Source organism: Homo sapiens, chromosome 9, assembly GCF_000001405.40.
Source record: "Homo sapiens chromosome 9, GRCh38.p14 Primary Assembly".
Taxonomy (NCBI): domain Eukaryota; kingdom Metazoa; phylum Chordata; class Mammalia; order Primates; family Hominidae; genus Homo; species Homo sapiens.
In genome coordinates this window covers 130,161,167-130,173,753 of record NC_000009.12, presented here as the reverse complement: position 1 = coordinate 130,173,753, position 12,587 = coordinate 130,161,167, and the positions used below count along the sequence as shown (strand labels likewise).

Sequence of the window (12,587 nt, the reverse complement as noted above, 5' to 3'; positions counted from 1 at the left end):
GCTGCCTCCAGGGGTGGTGCAGAGGGCCTGGGCCCACGCAGCTGCCCGGGGATGGGTTCTGAATTCCAACCCAAGCCCAGAACCACTGTCCCCTTCCAAGTCAAACACCCAGGCAGAGGTCCTTCCAGACCCCGATGCTGAAGCCTTCCCTCTGGCAATCCCCTGGGTGGTCTGGACCCATTACCATTAACCCCTGGTATGCCAGGGCACCTCCGGAGAGGCTGCAGGGAAGGGGGAAGCCTGGTATGGAGAAACTAGGACTGCAAGGGGACTGCAGAGTTGTGAAGTTAGGCAAGTGGAGGGAGACACACTGAGGCTGATCTGGAGACGCCCAGAAAGGACAGGCCATCCTCCTCCGGGCAGCCCGCGACAGCTAATGATCACACGCGGCCCAGATGACCCGGGCTGTAGAAACCCACTTCCCGGTGTGGCAGACAGAGATGGGGCCAGGGAGAATCCAGCCTGTAAGTGCTGCAACCCACAGGGTGCCGGGGACCCTTCACCGCCGTCACCGCACGACGAGCGCTGTGCCAAGTCTCGCCACCCCCCCCCCCACACGAACGGGGCCAGGGAGGGGGCGACAGGCCAATCTCGCAGCAGCGGCGGCGGCGGCATCGTGATGCATGAATCACCAGCCCCGCGCGCTCGTGCCAGTCGGCTCCGCGCAGCCGGGCGCCCCCTCCCGGGACCACCGCCCCACCCTGGCAACAGCCCCTGCCCGTTGGGACAGCTCTGCGGAGAGGGGGCCGCCAGGGGGCTGGGGCTGCCCCTCCGGACCTAGGGGTGGCGCCGCGCACGCCGACCGGCGCGCACTCCCCGGGCTGGGGGTGCCAGAACAATGGGGCCGGGCGGGGGGCAGGGGCGCGGCCCGGGAACCTCCGAGGGGTCCACATTGGAGGCCGGGCGGGGAGGACGGAGCGGAGGCGGCAGCGCGGAGCGGGTAGCGCGCGGGTCCGGGGGGCGGGGGCGGGGGCGGTGGGTGTGGGGGTGACCGCGGGGCGCGGGCTGGGGGCTGGGAGCACTCACAGTAGGTCTTCCTGGTCAGCTCCTCCACAACTTCGGGCTTCAACTTGCTGTTGGATTTCCCCATCCTCGGCGGCCGCGGCCCCCGCCCCCCCGGGCCGGACCCGGTTGGGGCGCCCAGCAGGAGCGGCTGGGCCGGGCGGGCCGGGCCGGGGCCGCGCCTTTGTCTGCGGCGCCCGCGCTGCGCTGCGCGGCTGTCGGCGCCGGGGCGCCCGGGGCGTGGGGCGGCCGCTGGGCAGGCCCGGGCGGTCCGGGCGCCGCGGCGCGGGGCTGCCTGGGCTGGGCGCCGGCGCCGGCGCGGTGTGGCCGCGGTCGTCCCTGGTTACTGGGCTCCGCGGCACATGCTCGCTGCTGCCTCCCGCCTGCCGCCGCCCCTGCGCTCCCCGCCTCCCGCCTCCCCCCTCCCGCCCGCACCCGCGCGCCAGGGGTGGACCCGGAGCCGCCACTCAGCGCCCGGCGCCACCTCCCGCCCCGCACCCGCCTGGCCGCGGCCTCCGCCAGCTGGACCCCGGCCTCGCCAGCCAGCCGGAGGGGCGTCCCCTCGGCTCAACGCGGCCCCAGGGCGGGGCAGCCACCCCCGCCACCCCCTCCCCGAATCCAGCCCTGGCGCTCCGGCCCCCGCCGCGGCGGGGAGGGCCCGGAAGATCGGATGTGAATGAGGCCAGGTCCCGGCCCGGAGACATTCATTCATTCGACACGGATTCATGGGGTGCCGGGGACACGGCGGCCCACGGGACAGGAGTGCCCCAGCCCTCGCAGGGCGGGCAGGGGGCTGTGCGGGATGCGGCAGGTAGCGGTGGGAGCACCTACTCTCGGCCTGGGGGCAGGAGACCTCCAAACCCAGGGTCAGGAAGGGAGGTGGATGGAGAAGCGTTCTGGCCCAGGCAACCTGGAGAGGCGGGGAGGCCTGCATGCCCGAGGGAGAGTTCCCCGGCTTGCGGGCTTGCGCACGGCTGCAGGCACAGGGGACCTGGGAGAAGGGCAGGGCCCACGGGGCAGGCCAGGAGAGGCCCCTCGCCGAGGAGCTGGGCCCCTGCCCACCAGCGCCCATGAAAGGACTTCAGCAGAGAGTGATGGGTCAGAGCTGCTGGAGTGACAGGTCAGAGCTGCTCAGAGCTGTTTCTCTGAGCCGAGGCTGGGGTGACAGGCTCCACCTGAATGGACAGAGGCCAGTGGATTCGCGTAGGGGGGTGTGGTTCAGGTGGTAGGTCCAGCATGGCCTTCCCGGTCCACCTCATCCAACATATCATCATATCTTGAGAACTCTCCTATCCTTTTCGGCTTTAGTTTCTCTCCTTCACATCCATCACAAACGTCACCTATGTTTTCTGCATCCTGTTTGTCTCTTCCATGGGAGAACACCCTCCCAGAGGGCAGAGGCATCTCCATAACCCAGAAGGCCGCCTGAGGTGTTACCCAGCAAATCTCTGTGAATGAGCGAAGGACGGAGGAAAGAATGACACCCGGTGCTGGGGCCCTGGGGTAGGGGAGAGAGCGGGGAGGATGAGGCAGCCCTCCCCGGGGCTAGCAGGGATGAGGCAGGAGTGGGGTCTCTTTCTCCCTTCTTTCCACAGTGTTCTAACCTCGGAGGGTCCAGAAAGCTCAGAGGAACCCTGAGCAGGGCCGAGTGCCTTCCAGCTCCCAAATATCTCTCCTGCCTCTAAGCATACTCCATCCACTCCTGCTTTCCCCTGAAGCCCCTGCCCAGGCTGAGCCCCAGGCCCCAGGAAGTCTTCAGATGGGGATGGACTTGCTGGCTTGGGGAGCTCATTCTGCAGAGGAGGTGGGCCCAGTTGGAGGGATCTGGTGTAGACCTGGGAGCAGAATGTCCCAACCTTGAGGACCAACTCAGAGTGGACAGCAGTGAGGGGCCCACAGTGGGGGGCTAACAGTTGACCAGACTGTGCTGAGCATCCTGCCTGGGAGGAGGGAGAGCCAGCACGGGAACCAGGGCCTGGCTGGATGACAGCAGTAGTAGTTAAAGCCCTTTAGAAACCCAGGTGCTCAGGCTGGGTGCAGTGGCTCATGCTGGTAATCCCAGCACTTTGAGAGGCTGAGGTGGAAGGATTACTTGAGCTTAGGAGTTCAAGACCAGCCTGACAGGGGAGACCTCATCTCTACAAAAATTTTTAAAAGTTAGCTGGGCTTGGTGACACATGCCTAACTCCCCGTTACTCGGGTGGCTGAAGTGGAAGGATCACTTGAACCCAGCAGGGCGAGGCTGCAGTGAGCCGTCATTGTGCCACTGCATTCCAGCCTGGGTGACAGAGAAAGACCCTGACTCTCTCTCTCTCTCTCTCTCTCACACACACACACACACACAAACACACACACATGAAAAGAGAAGAGAAAAAAAGAAAGAGAAAGGAAGGAAGGAAGGAGGGAAGGAAGGGAGGGAGGGAGGGAAGGCAGGCCAGGCATGGTGGCTCATGCCTATAATCACAGCACTTTGGGAGGACAAGGCAGGTGGATGGCTCGAGCTCAGGAGTTCAAGACCAGCCTGGGCAACATGGTGAAACCCCATTCCTACAAAAAATACAAAAAAAAATTAACTGGGCATGGTGGCACATGCCTGTAGTCTCAGCTACTCGGGAGGCTGAGGCAGGAGGATTGTTTGAGCCTAGGAGGTAGAGGCTGAAGTAAGCCCTGTTGGCACCACTGTACTCCAGCCTAGGTGATGAGACCCTGTCTCAACACACACACACACACACTCACACACTCACATGCATTCACACACACACACAAGAAACCCAGGTACTCATCCTGTGAGTATTTCTTGCTCACTGCCCCTGTGCCAGGTGCCGTGCTGGGCACTGAGACCAACATGGGAGCTCACGGATCTGACCCGACCTGCTGCACAGCGATCACAAAATCACACTGGCAACAAACACCATGCAAGGAATGGAGAGGGTGGGGGAACATACATGGGAACACCTGCCAAGGAACTCAGGGACTTCACAGATTCATCCCATCATTCGGGACATGTTTACTAAGCACCTACTATGTGCCCTGGGGACATAGACCAGATCCCTGCCATCAGGGACCTTACACTTTCGTGAGGGGAGAGTGCTATAAACAATAAACAACATGCATAAGTGCAGCATAGAAACCAGAAACACGGGGGCGCAGTGGCTCATGCCTGTAATCCCAGCACTTTGGGAGGCCAAGGCGGGCGGATCACGAGGTCAGGAGTTCAAGACCAGCCTGGCCAACATAATGAAACCCCGTCTCTACTAAAAATACAAAAATTAGCCGGGCATGGTGGTGCACGCCTGTAGTCCCAGCTACTTGGGAGGCTGAGACAGGAGAATCACTTGAACCTGGGAGGCAGAGGTTGTGGTGAGCTGAGATCGCACCACTGCATTCCAGCCTGAGTGACAGAGCAAGACTTTGTCTGAAAGAAAGAAAGAAAGAAGGAAAGAAGGAAGGAAGGAAGGAAGGAAGGAAGGAAGGAAGGAAGGAAGGAAGGAAAAGAAAAGAAAAAAGAAACCATAAATACGCTGCATGAGTAGAATGTATCTCACAGGTGAAAGAAGAAAAATGAGGCGGGAAGGAAAATGGGAAGGGCTGAGGGCCGGAGGTGTGTGGTGTTGGCTAGAGAAGGAGCCTCACTGAGAGCAGAGGGGGAGCATCGCCCAGGCCCCGTGGCAGAGCCCAGGTGGAGCCCAGCTGGCCCACGTACAGCCTTGTGTGTGGCCTTGCAGGGGTACAGTAAGGTGGGCTTTAAAGGGCGAGGTGCAGAGTGGGGAGGCAAGGTCAGACTCCCGACTCAAGGGATCTGATGTGCTTAGCCGGCCCCTTCAGCTGCTGCTGCAGGGAGAACTGACTCCAGGCACAGATGGGTAAGAATGGGGAACTGCCAGAGGTCACTGTATCATCAGCCAGGAGGTGGTGGTGGCCACGTGTAGTGTGGCCTTGGAGGACACAGAACTGGCTAGACTCGGTGACATTTTGAGGGTAGTGAGAGCAGGATTCCCTCACTGCTGTCTCCTCTGAGTTGGTCTTCAAGGTTGGGAGACATTCTGCTCCCAAGTCTACACCAGATCCCTCCAGCTGAGGCCCATCCTACCTCCTCTGCAGAATGAGCTCCTCCAGGCCAGCAAGTCCATCCCCATCTGAAGACTTCCTGGGGCCCGGGGGTCAGCCTGGGCAGGGGCTTCAGGGGAAAGCAGGAGTGGATGGAGTATGCTTAGAGGCAGGAGAGACATTTGGGGCTGGAAGGCAGGAGAGACATTTGGGGGCTGGAAGGCAGGAGAGACATTTGGGGGCTGGAAGGTATGAGACGGAGAGAGGGGACTCAAGGACAAGGCCGGGCTTTCTGAGCTGAGCTTATGGAAGAGTGGGGTTTCTATTTGCTAAGATGGGGAGTGGACAGGTTTGGACAGGAAGAGCTGGAATCTTACTGCAGACAGGTGAGGTGTGAAATGCTTACCAGATGTCCAAGTGGTGACGGGAGAAAGCAGGTGGCACAGGCGTCTGGAGTTCAGGGACAGGTCCAGGCTGCAGGTATGCACTGGGAGCCATCCTGGCAGACATGCCCTTTAAAGTCTTGAGACAGGATGAGGTCACCGAGGGAGGGAGTGTAGGCTGAGAAGGTCAGGCCAGGGAGACAGCAGGGGTGCTGACGGGGAGGTAGGAAGACCACCAGGAGGCAGTGCTGGAAGCCAGGGAAGAATGTGTTTTAGGAAGGAGGGAGAAGCATGGGAACTGCTTGGGGAAGGGTGGGGGGAGTGTTTTGGACCCCCGTGATGTGGGGACGGCATGTGGGAAAGTGCTGGGCCTTGGGACCAGCCATCCCTCTTCCTGACCTGGTTTTTAGCTGAAAAGGTCCCTGCCCACATCAGCTTAAAATGCTGAGCCTGAGCCACCACATGAAGGACTCAGATCTGCTCTCTGATGCCCTGGTCACAATCCAAGAAGCAGAGGTTCCAGGTCTTTCCACTACAGGATTTTGATGTTTAAGTGAAAAAAACGTGCAACCCAGGCTGAGCGCAGTGGCTCATACCTGTAATCCCAGCACTTTGGGAGGCCGAGGCTGGCAGATCACCTGAGGTCAGGAGTTTGAGAACAGCTTGGCCAACATGCTGAAACCCCATCTTTACTAAAAATACAAAAATTAGCCGGGCGTGGTGGCGCACACCTGTAGTCCCAGCTACTCAGGAGGCTGAGGCAGGAGAAGTGCTTGAACCTGGGAGGTAGAGGTTGCAGTGAGCCAAGATCGCGCCACTGCACTCCAGCCTGGGCGACAAGAGTGAAACTCCGTCTCAAAAAAAGAGAAAAACAACCAAACAAACGAAAAACGTGCAGCCCATCTTCCAGTTGGGGTGTCATGGCCAATTCACAGGTTAAGGGATCCTTCTGGCTGCTGTGCAGATTGGAGCAGGCAGGGTGAAGGCAGAGATGCCATTGAGGACTTGGGAAATTGAGTGGCCATTGATTAGATGTGGGTTGGAGGGACAAGAGAGGAAGGCATGACCGTGGATCTCTGGGTTGGGAAGAGCAGCCCTACAGGAGACAGAGGCGTCAGAGTGGCCCCCTGGTGGTGTCCAGGAGCCCCTGAGGGATGGATGCATTTCTCAAAATGGGGTCACCAGACGAGGACCAGGTTCAGAGAGGGGGTGATGATCTCAGCAATGGATCTGAGATGTCTGTGAAACACCCAAGGAGGATGTTGAGGTCTATGTTCAGAAAAAACAAAACCAGGCCGGGCGTGGTGACTCACGCCTGTAATCCCAGCACTTTGAGAGGCTGAGTTGCGCAGATCACCTGAGGTCAGGAGTTCGAGACCAGCCTGGTCAACATGGTGAAACCCTGTCTCGACTAAAAATACAAAAATTAGCTGGGCATGTTGGTGCACTGCCTGTAGTCCCAGCTACTTGGGAGGCTGAGACATGAGAATCGCTTGAAGCCGGAAGGCAGAGGTTGCAGTAAGCCAAGATTGCACCACTGCACTCCAGCCGGGGCAACAGAGTGAGACTCCGTATCAAAATAAATAAATAAATAAATAAGTCAAATTAAATGATTTTTAAAACCCAGGTTATAAACCGTTGTGTATAGAATAATGAAAATAAATCTCTGCACCCATGTAGGAAGCTGTCTGAAGGACAGGCTTCCAGGGAATCCTATCAGTTGTCAGTACAGGTAGATTATGAGTCACTTTTATTTTTTCTCTCATCTGCATTTTTCCTTGCATTTTTTTCTTGTGATATAATTCGCATAAATTTCATCATTTTAAATTAGCACACATTCAGCCATTTTAGTATATTTGCTATATTGTGTAACCATCACCACTAATTTCAGAATCTCATCTGTATTTTATTTTACTTTATTTTATTTTATTTTATTTTATTTATTTTTTCTTTGAGATGGAGTCTCGCTCTGTTGCCCAGGCTGGAGTGCAATGGTGAGCTCTCATCTCACTGCAACCTCCACCTCCAGGGTTCAAGTGATTCTCCTGCCTCAGCCTCCCAAGTAGCTGGGATTACAGGCATGCGCCACCACGCCTGGCTAATTTTTTTGTATTTTTAGTAGAGACGGGATTTCACCAAGTTGGCCAGGCTGGTCTCAAACTCCTGACCTCAGGTGATCCACCCGCCTTGGCCTCCCAAAGTGCTGGGATTACAGGTGTGAGCCACCGCGCCCGGGCTCATCTGTATTTTCTACAGATTGTTTTCTACAATTAAACACATTGCTTCTGTGTTTTTGTTTTGTGGTTTTTGTTTGTTTTTGAGACAGGGTCTCACTCTGTCACCGAGGCTGGAGTGCAGTGGCACAATCATGGGTCACAGCAGCCTTGACCTCCCAGGCTCAGGTGATCTTCCTGCCTCAGCTTCCCTAGCAGCAGGACTACAGGCACACACCACCACACCCAGCTAATTTTTTAAATTTTTTGTATAGATGGGGTCTCACTATGTTGCCCAGGCTGGTCTTGAACTCCTGGGCTCAAGCAATCCCTCCACCTTGTCCTCCCAAAATGATGGGATTATAGGCGTGTGCCACCACATCCAGCTCACACATTTCTTTTGAATAAGAAAAGTATTTTGTCAATTTTTTTCACTCATCCACAAATACCCCAAAGTAGAGGCCTTCTAGAATCACCAAGACTCCCCCAGGGGGCCTGTCCATGACCCAGATCCCCAGCTTCCACTCCACACACGATGAATGTCACTGAGGTTGGAGCATAGCTTGGCAATCTGCATTTTAACCCAGCCTCTAGCCCTCCCCCTTGCCTTTCAGCAAAAAGGGTCCCTGCTACGGTTTCATAAGCTCACTCTTCTGAGGGTGAGGGTGAGGGTTAGGGTTAGGTTTAGGGTTAAGGTTTGGCTTAGGCTTAGGGTTAGGTTTTGGCTTGGGTTTAGGGTTAGGGTTAGGGTTAGGGAAGCTTGCTCGGTTGCTCTTCCAGGAAGTCCATGGGGAAAATATTAAACACAGGTTGGGCAAACTCTGGATCAAATGCTCCGCTCAGTTGCTGCATCCTTGAGCCCCGGTTTCCTCCTCTGCCAGATGAACAGCCCTGGCCTATCCCCCTTCCAAGGGCTTAGTCTGTGGACCTGTAGGTAGGTGCATTACCGGGAGTATCCATTCTCATGTCACGTAAGCATCTCGAACTCAACAGGCCCTAAACATAACTCACCGCGGTCCACTCCCCACAAAAAGAATCCTTGTTCCTTTACAAATGGTCCGCTGACAACCAAAGGCTCCAGCCAGAGTCTGAAACATTCCTGGCCCTTCCTGCTCTGCAGAATCCCATCCTCTGTATGCAATCAACCACACCTTGTCCGTTGGTTTCAATTCTTAAAGAGCCCTCGGCCGGGCGCGGTGACTCACGCCTGTAATCCCAGCACTTTGGGAGGCCGAGGCAGGTGGATCACCTGAGGTCAGGAGTTTGAGACCAGCCTGACCAACATGGAGAAACCCCATCTCTACTAAAAATACAAAATTAGCCGTGCGTGGTGGCGCATGCCTGTAATCCCAGCTACTCGGGAGGCTGAGGCAGGAGAATCGCTTGAACCAGGGAGGCAGAGGTTGCGGGGAGCCGAGATCGCGCCATTGCACTCTAGCCTGGGCAACAAGGTAGAAACTCCATCTCAAAAAAAAAAAAAAAAAAATCCCTCAGGGCTGGACAGTTTTCTTTTTTCTTTCTTTCTTTTCTTTTTTTTTTTTCTTTTGAGACGGCGTCTCACTCTGTCGCCCAGGCTGGAGTGCAGTGGCACGATCTTGGCTCACTGCAAGCTCCGCCTGCTGGGTGGCTGGACAGTTTTCTGCACCTCCACCACAATCAGTGGAATCCCGCCACCACCCTCTCTCTCCAAGCCATCAAAGCAATTTCTGCAGCATCTTTCTTGCTCCTTCTCAAATCCCCATACCACAGCCAGAGTAAGACTTTCTATTGCTAATCTTCCGCATCCATCCCCCCAGCGAAGCTTCTCTTTGCTCTCAGGGGAAAGCCTCTACAAGGCTTATGAGGCCCTGCCTGCCTCATCTCTGTTCCTCTAACAAACCAAACCGTGACATCCAAACCCTCACAGACGTCTACTCCCCTATGGTAGCAAACGCCTAGACCTGTGATGTCCAACAGGGAGGCCCCCCAGCCACATGTGGCCACTGAGCACCTGAAATGTGGCCAGTCCAAATGGAGATGCACAGTGAGCACCAAATACACACCGATTCCAAAGGTTCGTGTACAAGGAAAGGAATAAAAGCCACCTAATTAATATATTTTTATTTTCGTTATATATTGAATTGATAAATGTTTCAGATGTAATGGGGTAAATATATAGTATTAAAATTAATTTCACCTTTTAAAATTTTTTGCTAATGTGCCAACTAGGAAGTTTAAAATTTCAGATGTGCACTTTGGGAGGCCGAGGCGGGTGGATCAACCTGAGGTCAGGAGTTCAAGACCAGCCTGGCCAACATGGAGAAACCCCATCTCTACTAAAAATACAAAAATTAGCCAGGTGGTAGTGGCACATGCCTGTAATCCCAGGTACTTGGGAGGCTGAGGCAGGAGAATGGCTTGAGCCTGGGAGGCGGAGGTTGCAGTGAGCCAAGATCTCGCCGCTGCACTCCAGTCTGGGCGACACAGTGAAACCCTGTCTCAAAAAAAAAAGAAAACGGCCGGGCGTGGTGGCTCACACCTGTAATCCCAGCACTTTGGGAGGCCGAGGTGGGCGGATCATGAGGTCAGGAGTTCGAGACCAGCCTGACGAACATGGTGAAACCCTGTCTCTACTAAAAATATAAAAATTAGCTGGGCGTGGTGGTGCATGCCTGTAATCCCAGCTACTCAGGAGGCTGAGGCAGCAGAATCGCTTGAGCCTGGGAAGCAGAGGCTGCAGGGAGTTGAGATCGTGCCTCTGCACTCCAACCTGGGCTACAGAGCGAGACTCCATCTCAAAAAAAAAAAAAAAAAAGAAAGAAAAAGAAAAAAGAAAAGGAAAGAAAAATACCGGGCGCAGTGGCTCACACATGTAATCCCAACACCTGGGGAGACCAAGGTGGGTGGATCACCTGAGGTCAGGAGTTCAAGACCAGCCTGGCCAACGTGGTGAAGTCCCTTCTCTACTAAAAATACAAAATTAGCTGGGTGTGTGGCACGCCTGTAATCCCAGCTACTCGGGAGGCTGAGGCAGGAGAATCGCTTAAACCCAGGAGGCGGAGGTTGTAGTGAGCCAAGATTGTGCCATTTCACTCGAGCCTTGGCCAAAAGAGCAAAGCTCCATCTCAAAAAATAAAAAAACGGCCAAGCGAGGTGGCTCACGCCTATAATCCCAGTACTTCGGGAGGCTGAGGCAGGTGGATCACCTGAGGTCAGCGGATCACCTGAGGTCAGGGGTTTGAGACGAGCCTGGGCAACATGGTAAAATCTCTTTTCTACTAAAAATACAAAATTAGCCAGGTGTGGTGGTACACACCTGTAATCCCAGCTACTCAAGAGGCTGAAGCAGGAGAATCGCTTAAACCTGGGAGGTAGAGGTTGCAGTGAGCCAAGCTCACACCATTTCACTAGAGCCTGGGCCAAAAGAGTGAAGCGCCGTCTCAAAAAACAAAAAAACGGCCAGGCACGGTGGCTCACGCCTATAATCCCAGCACTTTGGGAGGCTGAGGCGGGCGGATCACTTGAGCTCAGGAGTTTGAGACCAGCCTGGGCAACATGGTGAAACCCTGTCTCTACAAAAAATAGAAAAATTAGCCGGTGTGATGCCAGGCTCCTGTAGTCCCAGCTACTCGGGAGGCTGAGGCATGAGAATCGCTTGAACCTGGGAGATGGAGGTTGCAGTAAGCCAGATCGCACCACTGCACTCCTGCCTGGGTGACAGAGCAAGGCCCTGTCTCAAAAAACAAAACAAAACAAAACAAAAAAAACAACTTCAGATGTGCTTACATTATATTTCTTTTCTCTGTCTCTCTCTTTTTTTTTTTTTTTTTGAGACATGATCTCACTCTTGTTTCCCAGGCTATAGCGCAGTATAATCACAGCTCACTGCAGCCTTGACTTTCCAGGCTCAAGTGATCCTCCCACCTCAGCCTCCTGAGTAACTCGGACTACAGACACACGCCACCATGCCCAGCTAGTTTTTGTATTTTTAGTAGAGATGGGGTTGCGCCATCTTATCCAGGCTGATCTCAAACTCCTAGGCTCAAGCAGTCCTCCCACCTCAGCCTCCCAAAGTGCTGGGATTACAGGCATGAGCCACCTCACCCGGCCTGTCTGTCCTTTTTTAAAATTGAGATGGGGTCTCACTATGTTGTCCAGGATGGTCTCAAACTCCTAGGCTCAAGCAATCTTCCTGTCTCAGCCTCCCAAGTAGATGGGATTTAAAGGCACCTGCCACCGTGTTTGTCACATTGTATTTCTTTCTTTTTTTTTTTTTTTTTTTTGAGACAGTCTTGCTCTGTCACCAAGGCTGGAGTGCAGTGGCGTGATCTCGGCTCACTGCAAGCTCCGCCTCCTGGGTCCTGGCCATTCTCCTGCCTCAGCCTCCCAAGTGGCTGGGACTACAGGCGCCCACCACCACGTGATCTGCCCGCCTCAGCCTCCCAAAGTGCTGGGATTACAGGTGTGAGCCACTGTGCCCGGCCTTTATTTTGTTTTTTAAGAGTAAGGGTCTCACTATGTTGCCCAGGCTCGTCTTGACCTAAACTCAAGCAATCCACCCAACTCAGCCTCCCAAAGGGCTGGGATTACAGGCACGAGCCACTGCACCTGGCCAACACTGTATTTTATTAATAATGAAGTAGTTTTAGATCATATTTTGTTCTTCAAATTTAAAAGAAACATTGTCAAAAGTATATAATCCAGTATCTTCTGAAGAAAAACCAGTTTCTGTGGTATACATGTCCTGGGTGGAAACAAATTCCCTTGTCAAATGTTTTTAGGGAGCATCCCATACTATAAGCACCCTGTTGACCAGTCACAATGCACATTAGCATAGTAAATGCTCTGAGAAGTCCTGCAGGAAAGAAATCTGTGTTATTTAATGAAGTATTTTCCACACTTACTTGGGTAGGACATTCTTTTAAAACTCCTTTTAGCATACTGAAGAACCAATGTCCTATGG

General features: G+C 54.6%; 1 protein-coding gene across 1 annotated transcript in view, besides 3 other annotated features; it reads right to left on the bottom strand.

The window, feature by feature from the left end:
- NCS1 (neuronal calcium sensor 1) overlaps positions 1-1,350 on the bottom strand; it is a 64,900-nt gene extending 63,550 nt beyond the window's left edge. Inside the window, exon 1 of the mRNA NM_014286.4 lies at positions 1,027-1,350. Within this exon, the coding sequence (NP_055101.2) occupies positions 1,027-1,090 (64 nt within the window). The 5' untranslated portion in view covers positions 1,091-1,350. The remainder of the gene's footprint in view (positions 1-1,026) is intronic.
- Positions 1,284-1,373: a silencer, noted in NCBI's record as "silent region_20400". NCBI's record gives its function as "represses an Ori minimal core promoter by ATAC-STARR-seq in GM12878 lymphoblastoid cells {active_cell/tissue: GM12878}" and the evidence as "EXISTENCE:reporter gene assay evidence [ECO:0000049][PMID:35858748]".
- Positions 1,448-2,236: an enhancer, noted in NCBI's record as "H3K27ac-H3K4me1 hESC enhancer chr9:132933797-132934585 (GRCh37/hg19 assembly coordinates)". NCBI's record gives its function as "activates a minimal SCP1, AML or CMV promoter by ChIP-STARR-seq in naive H9 embryonic stem cells {active_cell/tissue: H9 hESC(naive)}" and the evidence as "EXISTENCE:reporter gene assay evidence [ECO:0000049][PMID:30033119]".
- Positions 6,852-7,055: a silencer, noted in NCBI's record as "fragment chr9:132928978-132929181 (GRCh37/hg19 assembly coordinates)". NCBI's record gives its function as "represses an EF-1alpha promoter that drives an FKBP-Casp9 reporter gene in an ReSE screen in K562 erythroleukemia cells {active_cell/tissue: K562}" and the evidence as "EXISTENCE:reporter gene assay evidence [ECO:0000049][PMID:32094911]".